Below are 24,583 nucleotides of genomic sequence, written 5' to 3'. Positions count from 1 at the left end.
GCGTGAGCCACCATGCCTGGCCAGCAATTACATGTTTGTATATATTTTTATTTATTTTATTTATTTATTTATTTATTTTTGAGACAGAGTCTCGCTCTGTCACCCAGGCTGTAGTGCAGTGGCGTGATCTTGGCTCACTGCAAGCTCCACCTCCTGGGTTCACATCATTCTCCTGCCTCAGCCTTCTGAGTAGCTGGGACTACAGGCGCCTGCCACCACGCCCGGCTAATTTTTTTTTTTTTCTTTAGTAGAGAGGGGGTTTCACCGTGTTAGCCAAGATGGTCTCGATCTCCTCACCTCGTGATCTGCCCGCCTCGGCCTCCCAAAGTGCTGGGATTACAGGCATGAGCCACTGTGCCCGGCTACATGTTTTTATAAATCCATTCAGTCAACTGTCTTCTTAGTGACTCTACAGTATCTTCTTCTATTTCACAAATGGTGACACAATGGCTTTAGCAAAATATAAATCCTGGTTAAACCCAATTCACTATCAGGTTTATACCTTCTCCTGAGCAGGTAAACCTGACTAGGGAAAAATACAACCCAGATGACTGATCTCATTTTATATTTACAACCACAGATGTCTGAATGACCTACTACCTCTCCCTACTTAATTTACTCTACCATTCAGAGATAACTATTTCACAAATTCTCTCTCCACAAACTTCCCACATTTCACACATTCTCTCTCCACAAACCTCCCACACTCCTTCCCCAATCCTTACATTTAGCTAATGATCTCCCCATCCCTGTTTCACTGAAGAAGAAAAAAAAAAAGAAAAACATCAGAAGACAAAACTTACACAGTCCCACTACCACATCAGTTATGACTTACAATCAGCTGTAAATAACAGACACAAACACACACTCAACAAAAGAAAAAGAAAAATAGGAAAAAAGATCAGTGTGGCTTAAACAAATTGCTTCATTTTCTCCCATAATGAGACGTCCAGGGGGAGGCAATGCAGGGCTTGACAGCTCCATGTTGTCATCAGGCACCTAGACTCTATCTTCCTCCATCCTTAGCATATCATATGGCATAAGGTTGCTTTATTATCGTAAGAAGATTACTAGAACTCCACAGGACCCCAGCCATCTTGTCCATGTTCTAGGCAAAAAAAAAAAAAAAAAAAAAAAAGAAAAAGAAAGGGCCAATGACACTAGCTCAATCTTATCAATCCTGTTTTAGAAACTTTATCAGCAGCCCCACCAAACAACTTCCACTAACATTTCACCAGAACTTAGTCACATGGACCCCATCAGTTGGAACAGAAGCTGGGCACCCTGTTCCCAAAGAAATCAGGGTTCTGTTACTAAGGAAAAGAGGGAGAATTAGGAAAGATTACCTATTTTGTTCTTCTTTTTTAAAGATGAGGTTTAGCGGCTGGGCACGATAGGTCACATCTGTAATCCCAGCACTTTCGGATGCTGAGGCGGGCAGATCACGTGATGTCGGGAGGTCGAGACCAGCCCGACCAACATGGAGAAACCCTGTCTCTACTAAAAATACAAAATTAGCCAGGTGTGGTGGCACATGCCTGTAATCCCAGCTACTCGGGAGGCTGAAGCAGGAGAATCGCTTCAACCCGGGAGGTAGAGGTTGCGGTGAGCCGAGATCACGCCATTGCACTCCAGCCTAGGCAACAAGAGCGAAACTCCGTCTCAAAAAAAAAAAAAAAAAAAAAGGATGAGGTTTTGCTATGTTGCCCAGACTGGACTCAAACTCCTGGGCCCAAAGGATCCTCCTGCCTTAGCCTCCCGAGTAGCTGAAAGGCACCACTGTATGCCACCATCCCTGGCTGAAATTACCCATTTTCTAGTTCACTGCAGTAGAGGAGAAAAACAGAAATAATCAGAAGAGAAATTCCACAGATTCCACCACTAAATCTAACTGCCAACCGATTAATCGCTCCTCGAATTCTGGCTTCCTCCTGTGTGTCAGCAGGTGAATACTGTGCTCCTTTCCAAGGTGAACCCCTCCATGGTGCACTGGGTGCCTTTCCATTTCACTACTCTAAAGCTTTGCTCCTTTTCCCCACAACATGGATTTTACCTTTTGTTTTTTTTTTCTCATTAGCAAACAAATATTCTAAAATAGCTCCCACCTTAGAAACAAAAACAAAAAGAAAACCCCGCCTTTTATTGAACATCCCTATCCAGCTCTCCTGGTTATTACTCTTCTTTCTAACCCCTTAAAGCAAAAATCCTCAAAAAAGTTTTTAAATTCTCCTTCCTCCACTTCCTTGTCATGAATCATCTCTTGAACTTACACCAATAAGGCCTTAATTCATCCTTACTGCTCCACTGAAGCCACTCTTGCCCAGGTCACCAGTGAAATCTAACAGCTGATTCTCAGACCCCATGTTACCCAGCCTCCCAGAAAGCACAGTTCAAAAAGCAGAGTTATCACCTGCTCCTGCTTGAAACACTTTCTTCATTTGGTTTCCAGAATACTAAACTCTTCATTATTTTCTTTCTTCTATTTTTTTGGAAACACGGTCTTGCTCTGTTACCCAGGCTGGAATGCAGTGGCGCGATCACAACTTACTGCAGCCTTCACCTCGTGGGCTCCTATGTCAGCCTCCCAAGTAATCGGTACTACAGGTGCACACCACCACGCCTGGCTAATTTTTGTATTTGTTGTAAAGAAGGGATCTCCCTGTGTTGCCAGAGCTGGTCTCTAACTCCTGGGCTCAAGCAATCCTCCCACCTTGGCCTCCCCAAGTGCTGGTATTATAGGTGTGAACCACTGCACCCAGGCCATTATTAACTTCCAACATCACTGTCTGCTCCTTTTACTTTACACTACTAGATCCTGTTCCTAATTTTTATAAGTTAGAGTGCTCTGGGGTTCAGTCCTTGGACCTCTTCCTTTTTTTTTTTTTTTTTTCAGACAGTCTCGCTCTGTTGCCCAGGCTGGAGTGCAATGGCACAATCTCAGCTCACCACAACCTCCGCCTCCCGGGTTCAAGCGATTCTCCTGCCTCAGCCTCCCAAGTAGCTGGGACTATAGGCGCATGCCACCATGCCCAGCTAAATTTTGTAATTTTAGTAGAGACGGGGTTTCACTATGTTGGCCAGGCTTGTCTCGAACTCCTGACTTTGTGATCCGCCCGCCTGGTCTTCCCAAAGTGCTGGGATTACAGGCATGAGCCACTGCGCCCGGTTGGATCTCCCCCGTTCCCCAGGTGATCTTATCCACTTTCTATACTGATGACTTCTAAATTTATCTCCAACACGACCTCCCCTCTGCACTTTTTAACCAACTATTACTGCCTAATCAACATCTCTACTTATATTTAACCCACTGCATCTCAAACTTAACATGTCCAAAACTGAACTTTTGATTCTTTCCATTTCTCTACACCTGTTCCTCCTTTAGTATTCCCCAGTGTTGCTCAGACCAAAAATCTAGGGGTCATGACTGACTCCTCTCTTTCTTTCTCACAGCCAACTTCTTAATAAATCCTGTCAGTTCTGTCTTCAAAATATACTCAGAAGGCTGGGCGTGGTGGCTCAAGCCTATAATCCCAGCACTTTGGGAGGCCAAGGCAGGCAGATCACGAAGTCAGGAGATCAAGACTATCCTGGCTAACACGGTGAAACCCCACATCTACTTAAAAAAAAAAAAAAAAAAAATTAGCCGGGCGTGGTGGCACACGCCTGTAGTCCCAGCTACTTGGGAGGCTGAGGCAGGAGAATCACTTGAACCTGGGAGGCAGAGATTGCAGTGAGCCGAGATCACACCACTGCACTCCAGCCTGGGTGACAGAGCAAGACTCCATCTCAAAAACAAAACAAAACAAAACAAAACAACTCACATTTCCACCACTTCTTACCACCTCAACAATATCACCTTGATTCAAGCCACTATCATCTCTTATTTGCATTACTGCCCATTCCCTTCTAGTTCATCTTCCTTCTTCCACTCTTAACCTCCTGTGGTTTACTCTCACAAAAGCCAGAGCAATGCTCTTAAAACCTAAAATAGAACATGTCACACCTTTGCTCAAAACTATCTAATAGCTTCTCATTATTTTTAGAATAAAACACAAAATCTCTCCATGCCTAATAACACTATTACATGAGCTAGACCCTGGCTACCTCTCCAATCTCATTTCATAACGCTCTCCCCCTCACTCACTACTCTGCTCTGGCCTCATTGACCTTCTTGTTACTGCTTTGAAAAGATATACACATCCAGTTTCCAGACCAGCAGAAAAGAAGCTCGGAAGTCACCACTCCATGATAACAACAAGTAAAAGCTGAACAAACTAAAAAATCAACAGCTCCTTTTTTTTTTTTTTAACTGCTCCATGCAGAGCAGGGCTAAGTCATAGGCAGTGCATCTAGAGCTGCCAACAACTCTTTATAGATCTGTAGGAGAAACTAGATAAAAAAAGTAAAGGAGGCCGGGCGCGGTGGCTCACGCCTGTAATCCCAGCACTTTGGGAGGCCGAGGCGGGTGGATCACAAGGTCAGGAGATCGAGACCATCCTGGCTAATACGGTGAAACCCCGTCTCTATTAAAAATACAAAAAAATTAGCCAGGCATGGTGGCGGGCACCTGTAGTCCCAGCTACTTGGGAGGCTGAGGCAGGAGAATGCCGTGAACCTAGGAGGCAGAGCTTGCAGTGAGCCGAGATTGTGCCACTGCACTCCAGCCTGGGCGACAGAGCGAGACTCTGTCTCAAAAAAAAAAAAAAAAAAGTAAAGGAGGCTGAGCATAGTGGTTCATGTCTATAATCCCAGGCCTTTGGGAGGCCAAAGTGGGAGGATGACTAGATGCTAAGAGTTCAAGCCCAGCCTGGGCAACATGGCAAGACCTCATCTCTACAAAATTAAAATTAAACTTTTTTTTTTTAAAGTGAAGGAGCTGGGCAAGGTGGCACACCTATAGTTCCAGTTACTTTACAGGCTGAGGCAGGAGGATCCCTTGAGCCCAGGAGTTCAAGGCTGCAGTATATGATTATCACATCTGTGAATAGCCACTGCACGCCAATCTGGGCAACATAGCGAGGCTTCATCTCTACAAAAAAGTAATAAAAAAGAAATAAAAGGCTGGGTGTGGTGGCTCATGCCTGTAATCCCAGCACTTTAGTAGGCTGAGGCAGGTGGATCACTTGAGGTCAGGAGTTCAGGACCAGCCTGGCCCACATGTTAAAACCGCATCTCTATCAAAAAATACAAAAATTGGCTGGGTGTGGTGGCGTATGCTGTAGCCCCAGCTACGCGGGAGGCTGAGGCAGGAGCGTTACTTGAACCTGGGAGGAGGAGGTTGCAGTGAGCCAAGATCACACCACTGCACTCCAGCCTGGGTGACAGAGCGAGACTCCGTCTCAAAACAACAGAAAAAGAAATAAAAGAGAGGACATAATTACAGATTCCATGAACATTAAAGGGAAAATAAAGGAAAACTCTATGTGCACAGATTTGATAACCTAGATGAAATAGACAAATTCCTTGAAAGACACAATCTGCCAAATTCACATAAGAAGAAAGACAATTTGAACAGCTCTATATCTATTAAAGAACTGAATCGGCTGGGCGCGGTGGCTCATGCCTGTAATCCCAGCACTTTGGGAGGCTGAGGTGGGCAGATCATGAGGTCAGGAGATCGAGACCATCCTGGCTAACACGGTGAAACCCCATCTCTACTAAATATACAAAAAATTAGCTGGGCATGGTGGCACGCACCTGTAGTCCCAGCTACTCGGGTGGCTGAGGCAGGAGAATTGCTTGAACCCAGGAGGCAGAGGTTGCAGTGAGCTGAGATCGCGCCACTGCACTCCAGCCTGGGTGACAGAGCGAGACTCCGTCTCAAATAATAATAATAATAATTGAATCAATAATTAATAACCTTCCCAAACAGAAAGCACCAGGCCCAGATGGGTTAACTGATGAATTCTACCAAACATTTATTTATTTATTTTGAGATGGAGTCTTGCTCTGTTCCCCAGCCCGGAGTGCAGTGGTGCAATCTTGGCTCACTGCAACCTCTGCCTTCTGGGTTCAAGTGATTCTCCTGCCTCAACCTCCTGAGTAGCTGGGATTACAGGCGTATGCCACCATGCCTAGCTAATTTGAATTCTACCAAACTTTTAGGGGAAACATTATCCCAATTTTATACCATCTCTTTAAGAAGAAAGAAGCAGAGGGATTATTCCCTAACTCATTCTATGAGATCAGTGTTACCGTAATACCAAAACCAGACAGATACTACAAAAAAAAAAAAAAGAAAAAAGAAAACTACAGACCAATATTTGCATGGACATAGATGCAAAAATCCTTAATTAAATATCAGAAAATCAAATCCAACACTGGATAAAAAGAATTATATACCAAGACCAAGTGGAATTTATCCCAGGTATACAAGGCTGGTTCAACATTTGAAAATGAATAAGGCCAGGAGCAGTGGCGCATACCTATAATCCCAGCATGTTGGGAGGCTGAAGTGGGACAATCACTTCAGCTCAGGAGCTCAAGACCAGCCTGAACAACGTGGCAAGACCTCATCTCTACAAAAAATTTAAAAATTAGCAGGGTGTGGTGGCATACACTTGTGGTCCTAGCTACTCAGGAGGCTGAGGTGAGAGGATCGCTGAAGCCCAGGAGACCGAGACTGCAGTGAGCTATGTTCATGCCACTGCACTCCGGCCTGGGTGACAGAGCAAGACCCTGTCTCAAAAAAAAAAGAAAGAAAAAGAAAAGATCAATTAATAAAATCCATCAGATCAGCAGTCTAAAGAAGAAAAAGGCCAGGTGCAGTGGCTCATGCCTGCAATCCCAGGACTTTGGGAGGCCGAGACAAGCAGATGGCTTAAGGTCAGGAGTTCAAGACCAGCCTGGCCAACATGGTGAAACCCTGCATCTGCTAAAAATAAAAAAAATTTGCCAGGTGTGGTGGCGTGCGTCTATAATCCCAGCTAATCCAGTGGCTGAGGCACGAGAATTGTTTGTACCAGGGAGGTGGAGGTTGCAGTGAGCCAAGATGGTGCCACTGCACTCCATTCTGGGCAACAGAGCAAAACTGTTTAAAAAAGAAAAAAGAAAGAAAAATCACATAATCATATCAACATATGCAGAAGAAGCATATGACAAAATCCAACACTCATTCATGATAAACTCTCTTGATAAACTTAGAGGGGAACTTTCTCGTCTTGATCAAGAATGTCTACAAAATCCCTACAGCTAACACTATACTTAAAAGTGAGAAATTAGAAGCTTTCTCACTAAGATTAGGAACAGGCAAGCATGTCCCTTCTCACGACTCCAGCAAGACTTATTTTATTCACTGTTATATCAACCCAGCACTTATAAGGAGTACCTGCCATGGTAAGCTCTCAATACTTGTCCAATAAGTAAATAAATAAAAATAGACACCATACTGTTTTCTCTATATTTAATACAATGGACACTTTCTAGTCTTTACCCTATTTAACCTGCAGGATTTGACACTGCAGCATTTGACACTGTACTCGCTTGAAACTCTTTACTTGGATCGTAAAACCCCCAGTTCTTCCTCTTTGATCATTCTTTCTCAGACTCCTTTTGTTTATTTGTTTATTTATTTTTGAAACGGAGTCTCGCTTAGCCGCCCAGGCTGGAGTGCAGTGGTGCGATCTCAGGTCACTGCAACCACTGTCTCCCAGGTTCAAGTGATTCTTCAGTCTCAGCCTCTTGAGTAGCTGGGATTACAGGCACCTGCCATCATGCCCAGCTTTAGTAGAGATGGGGTTTCAGCATGTTGGCCAGGCTGGTCTTGAACTCCTGACCTCAGGTGATCCACCTGCCTTGGCCTCCCAAAGTGCTAGGATTATTGCGACCGGCTCAGACTCCATTTTTTTTTTTTTTTTTTTTTTTTGAGACAGTCTCGCTCTGTTACCCAGGCTGGAGTGCAGTGGCACAATCTCGGTTCACTGCAACCTCCGCCTCCTGGGTTCAAGCAATTCTCCTGACTCAGCCTCCTGAGTAGCAGGGACTACAAGTGCACGCCACCATGCCTGGCTAATTTTTGTATTTTTTTAGTAGAGACGGGGTTTCACATGTTGGTCAGGATGGTCTTGATCTCCTGATCTTGCGATCCACCTGTCTCGGCCTTCCAAAGTGCTGGGATTACAGGCATGAGCCACCATGCCCAGCCACTTTTTTTTTTTTTTTTTTGAGATGGAGTCTCACTGTTGTTGCCCAGGCTGGAGTGCAATGGCGCAACCTCAGCCTCCTGGGTTCAAGTGCTTCTCCTGTCTCAGCCTCCCAAGTAGCTGGGATTACAAGCATGCGCCACCATGCCCGGCTAATTTTGTATTTTTAGTAGAGATGGGGTTTCTCCATGTTGCTCAGGCTGGTCTCGATCTCCTGACCTCAGGTGATCCGCCTGCCTTGGGCTCCCAAAGTGCTGCAATTACAGGCGTGAGCCACTGTGCCCAGCCCCAGACTCCTTTTATAAGCTCATTTTCTCCACTTTAAATGTGATCATTCTTTCAATTCCTTACTAAGGCCAGGTTCTCTATCTACTTCAGGGTTCTCTATTAATACCACCACGTTCAGCCGGGAACGGTGGCTCACGCCTGTAATCCCAGCACTTTGGGAGGCCAAGGCGGGTGGATCATGAGGTCAGGAGTTCCAGACCAGCCTGGCCAACATGGTGAAACCTTGTCTACATTAAAAATTCAAAAATTAGCTGGGCACGATGGCAAGCACCTGTAATCCCAGCTACTTCGGAGGCTGAGGCAGGAGAATTGCTTGAACCCAGGTAGCAGAGGTTGCAGTGAGCCGAGATTTCACCACTGCACTCCAGCCTGGGTGACAGAGTGAGACTCCGTATCAAAAAGAAAAAAAAAAAAAAAGAAAGAAAAGCACTACTTTCCTAGCTCTACACATTCCCCCTGAGAGGTCTTACCATTCCCGTAGTTTAATTACCATTTTAATACTGAAGGTTCAAAATCTGTCTCTCTCTCCCCTCTCCATATCTGCAAGTATGTCTGCCTAATGGACATCTCTAAGCATATGTACTACCGACACTTAAACCTCAAAATGTGTTAAAAACTGACCTTTTCTTACTTCCCGCCCACTTCTTTCTTCAATATTTTGATCTCAGTGAAAAGCACCACGATTCACGTGGTTATTTAAATGAGAAACCTTTGCTGGTCGCAGTGGTTCACATCTGTAATCCCAGCACTTTGGGAGGCCGAGGTGGGCGGATAGCTTGAAGTCAAGATTTCGAGACCTGCCTGGCCAACATGGTGAAACCCGGTCTCTACTAAAAATACAAAAATTAACCAGGCGTGGTAGCACATATCTGTAATCCCAGCTACCTGGGAGGCTGAGGCAGGAGAATCACTTGAACCTGGGAGGCAGAGGTTGCAGTGAGCCAAGATCGTGCCACTGCACTCTAGCCTGGGAAACAGAGTGAGACTCTGTCTCAAAAATAAATAAATAGATAGATAGATAGATAAATAAAATAAATGAGAAACCTACAAAATAACCTCCATTCCTTACTTTACCTCACAACCCATATCCAATCAATCACAAGGTTCAATATTAAACAAAAATTACATATTAAGCACCTACTATGTGCCAGGTATTGTTCTTGTCTCTAGGGATAAAGCCTGCTTGCATTGGCTTACATTATAAGGACATTTACTGTTTCCTTTATTCATTAATATTTATTTAGTTTCTTTAATTTATTATTTAATTAATAAATGTGGAGATAGGTTGGTTTTAAGGTTAGGTCGATAGCTTCACAATATCAGACCACTGCACTGAACTGGCATCTTTATGATTCTCTTTGCATTAGACCCTCAAGGACTGAAGTTGGCTCTAGGCATCATATCTTCAAAGAACATTTCCAAAGGCAGAAAGCAAAGGGAGAGGGGTGAAACAAAAGGGACTTCCTCAACGGGGTAATCTCTTTTTATCAGAGAAGAAAATCATTCCCAGAAAGTCCTCAGCTGACTTGCCTCTTTATGTCCCATTGGTCAGAATCAGGTCCAATCATGAAGGAAACTGAAAAAGCAAGTATCTGGCAAAGGGAAACAAGGTTGCATTTATTTGTCCCCGGGGACTGAGCACACAAATACCCTTTAAACAGTGGCAGATAAAGGAGGCTGTCTTAGCAAGGAGGAATGGAAGAAGGTAGTTTTTGGAAGGGCAACCAAGACTGACTTCCACAAAAAGAGACATGGAGTTTACATAAAAGAAGAAACTTTAAACAAGTAAATAAATGTACAAACAAGGTAATTTCAGATTCTGTAAGAGCTGTGAAATAAGAGTGGTGTGATAAAAAGTAGTGGGCATATTTTGAAAGTAAATTGACAACATGAACTAATGGGACTGAATGTATGAGAAAAAGGTGATTCCAAGTTAACACTGATTCCCATTCATAAATGAAGCTTGAGAAAGATAATTAAGGGTCTAAGGTCATACCACTATTAACTGACAAAGCTAGAATTGAATCTAGTCCTATCTGACACCACCGAAGTCAATTTTCTATTTTTTTCCCTTTTTTTTTTGGTTTTTTTTTTTTTTTTTTTTTGAGATAGAGTCTCACTCTGTCACCCAGGCTGGAGTGCAGTAGCATGATCTCTGCTCACTGCAACCTCCACCTCCTGGGTTCAAGCGATTCTCGTGCCTTGGCTTCCCAAGTAGCTGGGATTATAGCCACGTGCCACCAGGGCCAACTAATTTTTGTATTTTTAGTAGACGGGGTTTCGCCATGTTGGCCAGGCTGATCTCTAACTACTGGCCTCAAGTGATCCACCCGCCTCGGCCTCCCAAAGTGCTGTGATTATAGGCCTGAGCCACTGCACCCAGCCCAAAGTCAATTTTCTTTCCCCAGTACCATCTATCTGTGGAAAAGCAGATGTAAATTTATAATATTGGGATAAATAAGAATGAAGTTCAAATATTTATAAATAGTTAACACTTGGTAAATTGTTGCCATTTGTTATTTTGTTTTTACTTGTAGAGCTAGTGAAATGAACAAAATATTTTGTAAATTTCTGTGTCTAAACCACAATATGGAAACTATCAAAAACAGTTACCCACTGCTTAGAACAGTAGCAAATGGCCATGATACTATGTAGCAAAAATGAGAATAACTCTAATTGCATCACAGGGTTTCCCACTACACCAAAGACTCAAAGCAAACAGTTGCAGGCCTGAAAGAGTACAACAAAAGAAAGGCCTATATAATCAATTAAAATGTGCAGACAGACTGGGCACAGTGGCCTGTACTGCAATCTCAGCAGTTTGGGAGGCCAAGGTGGGAGGATCGATTGAGCCCAGGAGTTCAAGACCAGCCTGGGTAACAATGAGACTCCACCTCCACAAAAATAAAAAATTAGCCAGGCACAGTGGTGCTTGCCTGTAGTCCCAGCTACTGAGGAGGCTGAGGTGAGAGGATCGCTTGAGCCTGGGAGGTGGAGGCTGCAGTGAGCCATGATCATGCCCCTGTAATCCAGCCTAGGCAACAGAGTGAGATCCTGTCTTAGGGGAGGAAAAAAAATGTCAAGACAGTAAATACTACTGTGTTTATGTTCCAGACATAGATAACTACTATTTACTCGTGTGTGTGTGTGTGTGTGTGTGTGTGTGTATAGGTATGTATAATAAATAGAGGCTGAGCATGGTGGCTCATGCCTATAATTAATCCCAGCACTTTGGGAGGCCAAGGTGGGTGGATCACTTGAGGTGAAGAGTTTGAGACCAGCCTGGCCAACATCGTGAAACCCCATCTCTACTAAATTACAAAAACTAGCCAGGTGATGGTGGTGCACATCTGTAATTCCAGCTACTAAGGAGGCTGAGGTGGGAGAATCGCTTGAACCTGGGAGATGGAGGCTGCAATGAGCTGAGATGGCACCACTGCACTCCAGCCTTGGCAATACAGCAAGACTCTGTCTCAAAAAAAAAAAAAAAAAAAACAGAGGCCGGGCATGGTGGTTCACATCTGTACTCCTAGCACTTTGGGAGGCCAAGGCGGGCAGATCACAAGGTCAAGAGTTTGAGAACAGCCTGGCCAATATGGTGAAACCCTATCTCTACTAAAAATATATATAAAAAAAATAGGCTGGGTGCAGTGGCTCATGCCTTTAATCCCAGCACTTTGGGAGGCCGAGGTGGGCGGATCACCTGAGGTCGGGAGTTCGAGACCAGCCTGACCAACATGGAGAAACCCTGTCTCTACTAAAAATAAAATACAAAAAATTGCTGGGCGTGGTGGCGCATGCCTGTAATCCCAGCTACTTGGGAGGCTGAGGCAGGAGAATCGCTTGAACCCAGGAGGTAGAGGTTGCAGTGAGCTGAGATCACGCACCATTGCACTCCAGCCTGGGCAAGAAGAGCAAAACTCCATCTCAAAAAATAGATAGATAGATAGATAGATAGATAGACAGACAGACAGACAGACAGACAGACACACAGATGTAAAATTAGCCGGGCGTGGTGGCGCGTACCTGTTTTCCCAGTTACTCACTTGGGAGGCTGAGGCAGGAGAATCACTTAAACCTGGGAGATGGAGGTTGCAGTGAGCCAAGATCATGCCACTGCACTCCAGCCTAGGAGACAGAGCGAGACTCTGTCTCAAACAAACAAACAAAACAAATAGACCTGGCCGGGCACGGTGGCTCACGCCTGTAATCCCAGCACTTTGGGAGGCCGAGGCGGGCAGATCACGAGGTCAGGAGATCGAGACCATCCTGGCTAACATGGTGAAACCCCGTCTTACTAAAAAAATACAAAAAATTAGCAGCCGGGCATGGTGGCGGGCGCCTGTAGTCCCAGCTACTTGGGAGGCTGAGGCAGGAGAATGGCATGAACCTGGGAGACAGAGGTTGCAGTGAGCTGAGATCGCGCCACTGCACTCCAGCCTAGGCAGCAGAGTGAGACTCCGTCTCAAAACAAAAAACAAAAAACAAATATACCTATGTAGGTTAAGTATGGATTTTTTAAAAAATCAGACTTTCCTGTCAGGTACTAAAGAGGAGGCAGGCTGGGCATGGTGGCTCATGCCTGTAATCCTAGCACTTTGGGAGGCCGAGGCGGGCAAATCATTTGAGGCCAGGAGTTCGAGACCAGCCGGGGCAACACGGCAAAACCCCCTCTCTGCTAAAAATATAAAAAATAGCCAGGTGTCGTGGCACATGCCTGTAATCCCAGCTACTTGGGGGGCTGAGCCACAGGAATTGCTTGAACTCACAAGGCAGAGGTTTCGGTGAACTGAGATTGTGCCACTGCACTCCAGCCTGTGCAACAAAGCAAGACCCTGTCTCAAAAAAAAAAAAAGAAAGAAAAAGAAAAAGAAAAAAAGAAAAGGAAAAAGAGGCAAAATACATTTATCATTATTCAATATTATTCTGGCATAAAAATGTGTTACAGTTGGGTGTGGTGGCTCATGCCTGTAATCCCAGCACTTTGGGAGGCCGAGGCAGGCAGATTACATGAGTCCAGGAGTTTGAGACCAGCCTGGGCAACATGGAAAAACCCCATCTCTACAAAAAAAAAAAAAAAAAAAAAAATATATATATATATATATATATATATAAAATATAAAAATATATATAATATAAAAATAAATATATATATAAATATATATATATATTTTTTTTTTTTTTACTCCTCCAATACTGGGCAGGGCTATGCCCATTGAATCATCAGAACATCGCCAGGTGTGCGGATCACAAGGTCAAGAGAACGAGATCATCCTGGCCAACGCGGTGAAACCCCATCTCTACTAAAAATACAAAAATTAGCTGGGCACGGTGGCACGTGCCTACAGTCTCAGCTGCTCGGGAGGCTGAGGCAGGATAATTGCTTGAACCTGGGAGGCAGAGGTTGCAGTGAGCTGAGATTGTGCCACTGCACTCCAGCCTGGCGACAGAGCGAGACACCATCTAAAAAAAAAAAAAAAAAGAATCAGCTGGGTGTGGTGGCTCACACCTGTAATCCCAGCCCTTTGGGAGCCCAAGGTGGGCGGATCACCCGAGGTCGGGAGTTGGAGACCAGCCTGACCAACACGGAGAAAGCCCGTCTCTACTAAAAATACAAAATTAGCTGGGCGTGGTGGCGCATGTCTGTAATCCCAGCTACTCAGGAGGCTGAGGCAGGAGAATCGCTTGAACTTGGGAGGCAGAGGTTGCAGTGAGCCAAAATTGTGCCATTGCACTCCAGCCTGGGCAACAAGAGTGAAACACTCTCTCTCAAAAAAAAAAAAAAAAAAAAAAAAAAAAAAAAAATCAGACAGAACATCATGCAAATATGGACCTCCCCTGGCTCCCTAGAAACCAACTGCAAATTCTCTTTTTTTTTTTTTTTTTTTGAGACAGAGTCTCGCTCTGTTGCCCAGGCTGGAGTGCAGTGGCATGATCTCGCCTCACTGCAAGCTCCGCCTCCCAGGTTCACACCATTCTCCTGCCTCGGCCTCCCGAGTAGCTGGGACTACAGGTGCCCACCACCACACCTGGCTAATTTTTTGTATTTTTAGTAGAGATGGGGTTTCACCGTGTTAGCCAGGATGGTCTCGATCTCCTGACTTCGTGATCCGCCTGCCTCAGCCTCCCAGAGTGCTGGGATTACAGGCATGAGCCACCGTGCCCAGCCCACCAACTGCAAATTCTTATAAGAGAATCCTGTCCCAAAGATCAACGTCCACTGTCAGCAGGAAGAAGTTACAAAAAATGACCTTCACCCTTCATCTCCCCTTAAGATTAGAGTAGTAGAGGAGAAGAGTAAAGGAGGTATTATGTTAGGGAAACAGGAACATAAGAGTTAGGGTAACATGGCCACGTACGGTGGCTCACGCCTGTAATTCCAGCACTTTGGGAGGCCGAGGTGGGCGGATCACCTGAGGTCAGAAGTTCGAGACTAGTCTGGCCAACATTGTGAAATCCCTTCTCTACTAAAAATACAAAAATAATCTGGGCATTGTGGCAGGTGCCTGTAATCTCTGCTACTTGGGAGGCTGAGACAGGAGAATCGCTTGAACCCACGAGGCAGAGGTTGCAGTGCGCCAAGATCACGCCATTGCACCCCTGCCTGGGTGACAAAAACAAAACTGTGTCTCAAAAAAAGAAAAAAGGGCTAGGATAACACAATTTCAAAATCAATTCTAAATTTAGACTAGCAAAGCCTATTCCTTACCAGATACAACCCATGGTCATAAGATGTTTACAGCTAAGGAAGCAGTTTATTAATGCTGGCAAGGACAAACTCCTATGACAACAAAATGTTCGGATGTCCCAATATCACATAACAATATACCCTTTTTTTTTTTTGGAGATGGAGTTTCGGTCAAAAAAATAAAATGAAATAAAAAAGAAGTTTTCTTTTAGTTTGATTACTCTGTGAAACCTGAGGTATTTATTATCAAGAACCTAAAAAAACAAGCCCTCAAATACTTCCCCATTCACAACAGGGGAATACACAGACAGATAAAAGCTAATAGTTTTAGGAAGGTATCTGGGGAGACATATAGGCCCACGGGAGCAAATCCCTGCAGTGGCGGCTCTGATAATCTGCAGAGAGCTAGAAGGGAGGTTCTCCCCTCCCCCAGAAAAATCTATCCCAAAACCATAAACTACATCGCCAATCCTTGGAAATACATAAGGTGGTTAGGGTTAAAGGGTGGCTTCAAAATGGTTCTAGCAGAAACCTATTGCGGTTACTGAACTATTCAAAATATTTGTCCAGAGATAGCTTTTCTGGATAAAATAGCTTTATTCAGAGCCGACAGCAAAATGGAGTTCAGCAGGGTGGTTCCCTAACATTCATTCTTCCCGTTAAAGCAAGCTAATTATTTTCAGATTCGTTTTAGGAATAAGAGTGGGGGTGGTCCAATGGTAGTGGGTTATCAGAACTTATTAACATTAGTATCACTAAAATTGATATGCAACCCCCACTGCTAAAATTGACAGGCTTAATTTTTTTTTAAAGAATAAGAAGAGGGACAAAATAAGTGAGAACAATATTCAAATATATTCCTGCCTCCTCTATCCAGTTGGAAAAATGTATGCAAATTTGGATTTTGAATCAAATGCCTTTAACAAGACTACCAAAACTATCGGAAATAAACAAGAACCTCTTGGTTTGCAGGTCAGGTTCAGATGGGTGGAGACACACATATATAGATATATATAACTCCTTACAAAATACACTTATAAACCATATAGATTTGTTATTTGTCTAAAATGAAGGATGAAGGCTGTACCAAATCTTCATAGGCTAATAACTGAATATGAACTATGAATTTTTAGTGTTTTAGGTTTAACCTTTTTCTTCCTCGTATACTGGGCAGATATTCTGAATAGTAACATCAATACGTTTCTGTTAGGACCATTTTAAAGCCACATTTTAAACCTAACCACCTTCTGCATTTCCAAGGATTAGCAATGTGGTTTATGGTCTTGAAATAGATTTTCCAGGGGCGGGGCGGAGGGAGAACTAGTCTACTCCTATAATGTGGGCCTCCAAGCACTAAGCTATAACCAATTGATGTATCTTGACACAAGGCCAAGCCGTCTTATTTACAAAACTCTTAAGTTGCACAAGGAATCCCTACTTCCTAACATCCTTCAGTGTCAAACTATTTCCTCCCTATCCAAGTCTTTCCTCACTTCTTCAACTCAGCTACCACCTCTGAAATGTGTTTTTAAATCTCCTTTTCAAAAAGCCCTTAGGACTGTTCCATAAAGTTGATGGCTTAGATCTAAAATTGGGGCCTACTTTGCCCTTTTAACAGCTTCAATGTTAAATGCTTGGGCACTACTCTTCGAATGACTGAAATACTATTTGCTTCCAGCGTTTGGTACTCTTACTTTGGAGAACAAGTCATTACAGTAAACCATGTACACCTATTCGGTTTTCTAAAGCTCGCGTTTTTCACATTATCAGGTAAGTACCGAATGCACTGCCTTTAAAGGAACTGAGAAAATAAAAAGGCAAAACTCACTGACAAACTGTGGCAACATGAAATTAATCAGCTGAGCTATCCGAACCACAACTTTCTGCATTTCACGGTGCTTCGTCTTTCAAATTGTATGGCTCTCTCAAGTCCTGGGTTTCCTCCGAATTAAGGCAAGCCTCGTCGCCCATTCCCTGGTCGGTGTCTTTCCGACTCGCGCCCGCCCCTCGGCAGGCCCTCGCAGCCATGCGCCGCACACTGCAGTACTGGCGCGCGTTGCCCGCAGGCGCGGCAGACCCCACCCCGCGGCCGCGCGAGGGGAGGGGGCTCGGGGCTCGGAGCCCGCCTCTGCGGCGGCCAGGCCGGGCGCGGAGTGGGCGCGCGGGGCCGGAGGAGGGGCCAGCGACCGCGGCACCGCCTGTGCCCGCCCGCCCCTCCGCAGCCGCTACTTAAGAGGCTCCAGCGCCGGCCCCGCCCTAGTGCGTTACTTACCTCGACTCTTAGCTTGTCGGGGACGGTAACCGGGACCCGGTGTCTGCTCCTGTCGCCTTCGCCTCCTAATCCCTAGCCACTATGGTGAGTAAGCCGTGCGGCTCCCGGCTGCTTTCAGGGAAGCAGGGAAAAGCGAGCCGGCGGGGCGCTGGGGCCCTGTATACAGCCGGGAAGGGCTGGCCTCAGAGCCGTCCGTTTGGAGGGCGGAAAACGAGGCGAGAGGCCAGGGCGGGAGTGGTGAGACCTCGGTGTGTGTAAATAGCGGGGGCCCGGAAAGGTCGAGGGGCGCCAGGATTTCTTCTCGGACTCTGGAAGGGATGGGGGGCTCGGGCTGCCCTCCGCCGTATCCGGAGCTCTCTTTTGTCGCGTAACTGTGTCCTGGGTGCGGTCCCTCGAGTCCCCGCAGTCCTTTCCAGCGCATGCCCTTACTCCGCCTTGGGTGGACGCGCGCGCGGACTCTTCCAGCCCTCACTTCCTCTTGAGCGCGAAAAGCGGGGGTGGGAAGCAGCTGGAGACAAAAGCGCGCACGCGCGACCGTTACCTTCCCGCCGCTCCTGGGCGGGAAACCGCCACTGCGCTTTGCGCATGCGCTCTGGGTCGCGACGCGACTAGGGCTACAGGGCGTGTCTCCTGTTAACCTGAGTGTTCTTTTTTTGATGAAAGCAATAAGAGGACTGCGGAAGAGCTCCCTGTCAATGTACCGCTCTACACCAGTGTATTACGACAGTTCGTACACAACAGTCTGTAGAGGCCACCTGTCTCTCCCTGCTGCGTTAGGAATTCAGGGGAGCAGGTGGTGGCAGTAAGGGATTTTGAGGGAACGGAAATCGGATCTTGACCCAGATCTGGGCCGCCGATAATCTCCTACTGCGCTCAGACTGCTGTGGAGGTGTTAGGCTGAGCCCGATGCCGGCAGGCAAGGGAGGATGGGCGGCTTGGGCAGCGCCTTTGCAGACGTGGCCATTTCGTGCCTCTGCAGCACCGCCGGGGGGCGCAAGAGCGCGCGCCCGGAATTGCTCATTCATCCTGTGCCGCAGAGCCCCGCCCCTTGTCCCTGCGGACAGACATTTCTTCTGCGCTGGTCTGGCCACGTGCTTCCTGTGCTAGGAGCTGCCCGGAAATGTGACCACCTAGTCTAAAGTGGGCTTCTGGGGCCTGAGCGCTGGATGGATGCCCACCTTCCTGTCTTGGTCCTCCAAAGGAGGAAGCTGTGACTGAGCTGTCTTGGTCTGGAAGGAGGCCTTCCCGGTTTAGGATGGGAAGGTAACATTCATTAAAAGCAACGTAGACTATAGTGTAGCTGTTCTCAAAAGTAGTACATCTTAGAAAAGGATCTTTAGAAAAGATCGCTTTAGAAAAGGAAATTCGTTTTCAGATTACGTGAGTAGCCTAGGTAACACAGCCAGACCTCATCTCCACAAAAAAAATGAAAAAATTAGCCAGCTTGGTGGTCTGTGCCTGTGGTCCCAGCTGCTCCAGAGGCTGAGGTGGGGGGATGACTGGAGCCTAGGCTGCAGTGAGCCTAGATGGCATCACTGCACTCAAGCCTGGGCGACAGACCTTATCTCTAAAAAAATAAAGATTGCATGAGTATTTTGTTCCACTTGACAGTCATCAATAGATTGGTTTAAATTGTGATATCTTTTTTCCTTCCCGCAGCGTGAGTGCATCTCCATCCACGTTGGCCAGGCTGGTGTCCAGATTGGCAATGCCTGCTGGGAGCTCTACTGCCTGGAACACGGCATCCAGCCCGATGGCCAGATGCCAAGTGACAAGACCATTGGGGGAGGAGATGACTCCTTCAACACCTTCTTCAGTGAGACGGGCGCTGGCAAGCACGTGCCCCGGGCTGTGTTTGTAGACTTGGAACCCACAGTCATTGGTGAGTTGACCTCAGTAACCTGAGATCCCAGGATGCTGGGACAGGAGGTCTGTCCAGGGGCTTCTCTTGTCACTCACTCACTCCCTCCGTCCTTCTCTCCCTCCTCCAGATGAAGTTCGCACTGGCACCTACCGCCAGCTCTTCCACCCTGAGCAGCTCATCACAGGCAAGGAAGATGCTGCCAATAACTATGCCCGAGGGCACTACACCATTGGCAAGGAGATCATTGACCTTGTGTTGGACCGAATTCGCAAGCTGGTAAGCACCACATATAAATATGCATTTAATGTGGTGTGATAGTTCCAGTGCAAGTTGGGTGGAGTGACTGACATCATTCATTCTTTGGCACCTACCAAAATGTGGAATAGGCTGCTTGCTATATTAATTGGACTTCTAAATCAGATAGTCCCTAGGTTATGGACAGTTTGTGGATATGTCTGTTTTGCCAATTCCTTGTGCTTACATCAGTGAGATATGGTTCGTAATCTAAAAAGTTGAAATAGAAATTCTAAGATAATGTGTCCTGGCATTAAAATATTACATTTTTTTATTCCCCTACAGGCTGACCAGTGCACCGGTCTTCAGGGCTTCTTGGTTTTCCACAGCTTTGGTGGGGGAACTGGTTCTGGGTTCACCTCCCTGCTCATGGAACGTCTCTCAGTTGATTATGGCAAGAAGTCCAAGCTGGAGTTCTCCATTTACCCAGCACCCCAGGTTTCCACAGCTGTAGTTGAGCCCTACAACTCCATCCTCACCACCCACACCACCCTGGAGCACTCTGATTGTGCCTTCATGGTAGACAATGAGGCCATCTATGACATCTGTCGTAGAAACCTCGATATCGAGCGCCCAACCTACACTAACCTTAACCGCCTTATTAGCCAGATTGTGTCCTCCATCACTGCTTCCCTGAGATTTGATGGAGCCCTGAATGTTGACCTGACAGAATTCCAGACCAACCTGGTGCCCTACCCCCGCATCCACTTCCCTCTGGCCACATATGCCCCTGTCATCTCTGCTGAGAAAGCCTACCATGAACAGCTTTCTGTAGCAGAGATCACCAATGCTTGCTTTGAGCCAGCCAACCAGATGGTGAAATGTGACCCTCGCCATGGTAAATACATGGCTTGCTGCCTGTTGTACCGTGGTGACGTGGTTCCCAAAGATGTCAATGCTGCCATTGCCACCATCAAAACCAAGCGCAGCATCCAGTTTGTGGATTGGTGCCCCACTGGCTTCAAGGTTGGCATCAACTACCAGCCTCCCACTGTGGTGCCTGGTGGAGACCTGGCCAAGGTACAGAGAGCTGTGTGCATGCTGAGCAACACCACAGCCATTGCTGAGGCCTGGGCTCGCCTGGACCACAAGTTTGACCTGATGTATGCCAAGCGTGCCTTTGTTCACTGGTACGTGGGTGAGGGGATGGAGGAAGGCGAGTTTTCAGAGGCCCGTGAAGATATGGCTGCCCTTGAGAAGGATTATGAGGAGGTTGGTGTGGATTCTGTTGAAGGAGAGGGTGAGGAAGAAGGAGAGGAATACTAATTATCCATTCCTTTTGGCCCTGCAGCATGTCATGCTCCCAGAATTTCAGCTTCAGCTTAACTGACAGACGTTAAAGCTTTCTGGTTAGATTGTTTTCACTTGGTGATCATGTCTTTTCCATGTGTACCTGTAATATTTTTCCATCATATCTCAAAGTAAAGTCATTAACATCAAAAGCTTTGTTTCCTGCGTTTTTTTCTAAAAGTGCCTTGGTTTTTAGATTCATCTATACTTGGAGTATAGAGAGTCTGGTGTCAAGGATCCCACTTACTGTGCAGGCACCTCTAGGGAAAAGGGAGCTCAACAGACTAGAAAGGCAGGAGCCCTAGATTCTCAGACTAGTTTACCACCTCAACGCTTGCATAGGGGGTGGGGAAAGTCATTCTGCTAATCTAAAGCTCATTTAGCTCTTCAGAGTAAGACTGGGTAGTTACTAATGAGTAATGTATAGGAAGTGTAAGTTTTGAATATCCACTGAGATGCTGCTGTTTAAAGTGGCCTGCTAACTTGTTAGTGTAATTAAGAAATTTCCAAGTGATCTTTGGCTGGTCATGGTGGCTCACACCTCTGATCCCAGGCATTCAAGACCAGCCTGGGAGACATGATGAAACTCCATCTACAAAAAAAAATTTGGGTGTGGTGGTGTGAGCCTATAAGCCCAGCTACTTGAGAGGCTGACAAGATTGAGGCTGTGGTGAGCTGTGATTGTACCACTGCACTCCAGCCTTGGTGACAGATCCTGTCAAAACAGTGACCTGGGAAAAACATCTGACTAGGAATATTTGAGGGTGGTGAGGTAAAGGCTGTTTCCAGCCCTATTGTGATAGGAAAAAGGACCAGAACTCATGGTGGTCAATAAAAGTCATGCTAGGTAAGAAGGCTAAACAATAAGCCATATGCATTGGTGGGAGAGGACTGCATTACATGAGGATAAAGCGGCAACTTTGGAAAGTTTAGGATAAAAGTTTATAATTTATAGCATTTGGCATGGTTTACATCCTTTCAAGTATTTTGGCTACATGTAACAGACTTGTAGGCACAGAGAATGTAAATAGAGGATTTAACCTAGGAGAAAACGTAGATTTCAAATCCGGAAAGCACAGGAAAATTATGGCTGCTGAAGACCTTGATGTCTTCTTGGTTCAAGACTGAAAGAATACATGAGGCATTTTTTTAAAAAGAAGAGGCCAGGCGCAGTGGCTCATGCCTGTAATCCCAACGCTTTGGGAGGCTTGAGGCGGGTGGATCACCTGAGGTCAGGAGTTTGAGACCAGCCTGGCCAACATGGAGAAACTCCATCTCTACTAAAAATACAAAATTAGCCGGACATGGTGGCGCATGCCTGTAATCCCAGCTACTCAGGAGGCTGAGGCAGAATTGCTTGAACCTTGGGTCAGGTGTGGTGGCTCATGCCTGTAATCCCAAGCACTTTGGGAGGCTGAGGCGGGCAGATCACGGGGTTAGGAGATCCAGACCATCCTGGCTAACACGGTGAAACCCCGTCTCTACTAAAAATACAAAAAATTAGCTGGGTGTGGTGGTGGGCGCCTGTAGTCCCAGCTACTCGGGAGGCTGAGGCAGGAGAATGGCATGAACCTGGGAGGCGGAGCTTGCAGTGAGCAGAAATCGCGCCACTGCACTCCAGCCTGGGCGACAGAGCAAGACGCCATCTCAAAAAAAAAGCAAAAACAGAATTGCTTGAACCCAGCAGGCGGAGGTTGCAGTGAGCCGAGGTTGCGCCATTGCACTCCAGCCTGGGCAACAAGAGCAAAACTTCATCTCAAAAAAAAAAAAAGTAGGGAAGTCTACAATTTTCCCAGTTTTTTGTTTTTTGTTTTTTTAGCCCATAAATCCTATAAATTTACAAAATGTAGTCAGCCCTCCCTATCTGTGGGTTCCATATCTAGATTTGACTAACTGGATTGAAAATACTTGGAAGCAACCGGCCATAGTGGTTCATGCCTATAATACCAGCACTTTGGTCAAGGCGGGAGGATCACTTGAGCCCAGGAGTTTGAGACCAGCCTAGGCAACCTAGGGAGACCCTGTCATTACAAAACTAAAACAAAAACAAATTAGCCAGTGTAATTGTGCTGCTGCATTCCTGTCTGGGTGCCAGAGAAAGACCCTATCTCAAAATATATATTTGGAAAAATGGATAGTTGTGTCTGAACTGAACATATACTTGTCCCCTTTATTCACTAAATGATACAGTATAACAATTATTTGCATAGCATTCACATTGTATTAGGTATTATAAGTAATTTGGAAATGACTTAAAGTATACAGGAAGATGTGTGCAGGTTACATGCAAACACCAGAGTTCTCTATATAAGGAACTTGAGCATTCATGGATTTTGATATCCTCCAGGGATACTAAGGGATGACTGCAACTCTCAGCTCCAAAGGTAATCTGATTTGGCATGAACAATTCAGAGAAAAAGCTTTGGTGGGGAGCCTACAGGCCTAGCATAGCAACAAAAATGTAGCCATCACAGGTTCCAAGGGAAAGCAGACATCTTTATTTATTTTTTATTTTATTATTTATTTTGAGATGGAGTCTCGCTCTGTCTCCCAGGCTGGAGTGCAGTGGTGTGGTCGTGGCTCACTGCAACCTCCGCCTCCCGGGTTCAAGTGATTCTCCTACCTCAGCCTCCCGAGTAGCTGGGATTACAGGCACCTGCCACCAAGCCTGGCTAATTTTTGTATTTTTAGTAGAGTTGGGGTTTCACCATGTTGGCCAGGCTGGTCTCGAACTCCTGACCTCGTGATCTGCCCGCCTCGGCCTCCCAAAGTGCTGGGATTACAGGCATGAGTCGCTGGGTGTGCCGAGCTGCAGACACCTTTAAAGAACTGAGAGGCCCGGGCACAGCAGCTCACGCCTGTAATCCTATCACTTTGGGAGCCCAAAGTAGGTGGATCACCTGAGGTCAGGAGACTGAGACCAGCCAGGCCAACATGGCGAAACCCCAACTCTACTAAAAATACAAAATTAGTGGCTGGGCACGGGGGCTCACGCTGAGATTATGCCACTGCACCCCAGCCTCGGTGACAGAGTGAAACTCTCAAAAATATACAATAAAACATTTTAAGCTGGGCACAGTAGTTCACTCCTGTAATCCCAGCACTTTGGGAGGCCAAGGTGGGTGGATCACCTGAGGTCAGGAGTTCGAGACCAACCAGGCCAACATGGTGAAACCCCGTCTCTACTAAAAATACAAAAATTAGCTGGGTGTGGTGGTGGGCACCTGTAATCCCAGCTACTTGGGAGGCTGAGACAGGAGAATTGCTTGAACCCGGGAGGCAGAGCTTGCAGTGAGCCGAGATCATGCCATTGCACTCCAGACTTGGTGATAAGTGCGAACTCCGTCTCAAAGGAAAAAAAAAATTTTAAAATTGTTTTATACATCAAGATGACTACTATTTTTTTTTTCTTGAGATGGAGTCTCGCTCTATTGCCAGGCTGGAGTGCAGTGGCTCAGTCTCGGCTCACTGCAACCTCTGCCTCCTGGGTTCAAGGGATTCTCCTGCCTCAGCCTCCTGAGCAGCTGGGATTACAGGCCTGCACCACCATGCCCAGCTAATTTTTGTATTTTTAGTAGAGACGGGGTTTTGCCATGTTGGCCAGGCTGGTCTCAAACTCCTGACCTCAAGTGATCCTCCCTCCTTGGCTTCCCAAACTGCTGGGATTACAAGGGTGAGCCACCACACCAGGCCAAGATGAATACTAATAATTATAAGTTAAGGCCTTGGGTTAAATGATATATTAT

General features: G+C 46.1%; 1 protein-coding gene and 1 long non-coding RNA gene across 2 annotated transcripts, besides 5 other annotated features; one reads left to right on the top strand and one right to left on the bottom strand.

Moving 5' to 3' along the window:
• Nucleotides 1-907: 907 nt before the first annotated feature.
• Nucleotides 908-17,165, bottom strand: TUBA1B-AS1 (TUBA1B antisense RNA 1). Its single transcript, NR_183484.1, has 2 exons — nt 16,946-17,165; nt 908-1,108 (listed from the first exon to the last, which is right to left on the bottom strand). It is a non-coding gene; the product is annotated as a TUBA1B antisense RNA 1 (long non-coding RNA).
• Nucleotides 17,048-17,447: a silencer, noted in NCBI's record as "silent region_4425". NCBI's record gives its function as "represses an Ori minimal core promoter by ATAC-STARR-seq in GM12878 lymphoblastoid cells {active_cell/tissue: GM12878}" and the evidence as "EXISTENCE:reporter gene assay evidence [ECO:0000049][PMID:35858748]".
• Nucleotides 17,376-20,989, top strand: TUBA1B (tubulin alpha 1b). Its single transcript, NM_006082.3, has 4 exons — nt 17,376-17,473; nt 19,049-19,271; nt 19,381-19,529; nt 19,833-20,989. Exons 1-4 carry the CDS (start codon nt 17,471-17,473, stop codon nt 20,811-20,813), a joined length of 1,356 nt encoding a protein of 451 aa, NP_006073.2. The 5' UTR covers nt 17,376-17,470; the 3' UTR covers nt 20,814-20,989.
• Nucleotides 17,648-17,737: an enhancer, noted in NCBI's record as "active region_6308". NCBI's record gives its function as "activates an Ori minimal core promoter by ATAC-STARR-seq in GM12878 lymphoblastoid cells {active_cell/tissue: GM12878}" and the evidence as "EXISTENCE:reporter gene assay evidence [ECO:0000049][PMID:35858748]".
• Nucleotides 18,251-18,545: an enhancer, noted in NCBI's record as "tiled region #3992; HepG2 Activating DNase unmatched - State 1:Tss, and K562 Activating DNase matched - State 1:Tss". NCBI's record gives its function as "activates a minimal TATA promoter and a strong SV40 promoter by Sharpr-MPRA in HepG2 and K562 cells {active_cell/tissue: HepG2 | K562}" and the evidence as "EXISTENCE:reporter gene assay evidence [ECO:0000049][PMID:27701403]".
• Nucleotides 20,092-20,591: an enhancer, noted in NCBI's record as "H3K4me1 hESC enhancer chr12:49521963-49522462 (GRCh37/hg19 assembly coordinates)". NCBI's record gives its function as "activates a minimal SCP1, AML or CMV promoter by ChIP-STARR-seq in primed H9 embryonic stem cells {active_cell/tissue: H9 hESC(primed)}" and the evidence as "EXISTENCE:reporter gene assay evidence [ECO:0000049][PMID:30033119]".
• Nucleotides 20,592-21,093: an enhancer, noted in NCBI's record as "H3K4me1 hESC enhancer chr12:49521461-49521962 (GRCh37/hg19 assembly coordinates)". NCBI's record gives its function as "activates a minimal SCP1, AML or CMV promoter by ChIP-STARR-seq in primed H9 embryonic stem cells {active_cell/tissue: H9 hESC(primed)}" and the evidence as "EXISTENCE:reporter gene assay evidence [ECO:0000049][PMID:30033119]".

Source organism: Homo sapiens, chromosome 12 (assembly GCF_000001405.40).
Source record: "Homo sapiens chromosome 12, GRCh38.p14 Primary Assembly".
NCBI classification, from domain to species: Eukaryota; Metazoa; Chordata; class Mammalia; order Primates; family Hominidae; genus Homo; species Homo sapiens.
Note: the sequence above shows the minus strand (reverse complement) of the source record. Positions and strands in the feature narration are given on the sequence as shown.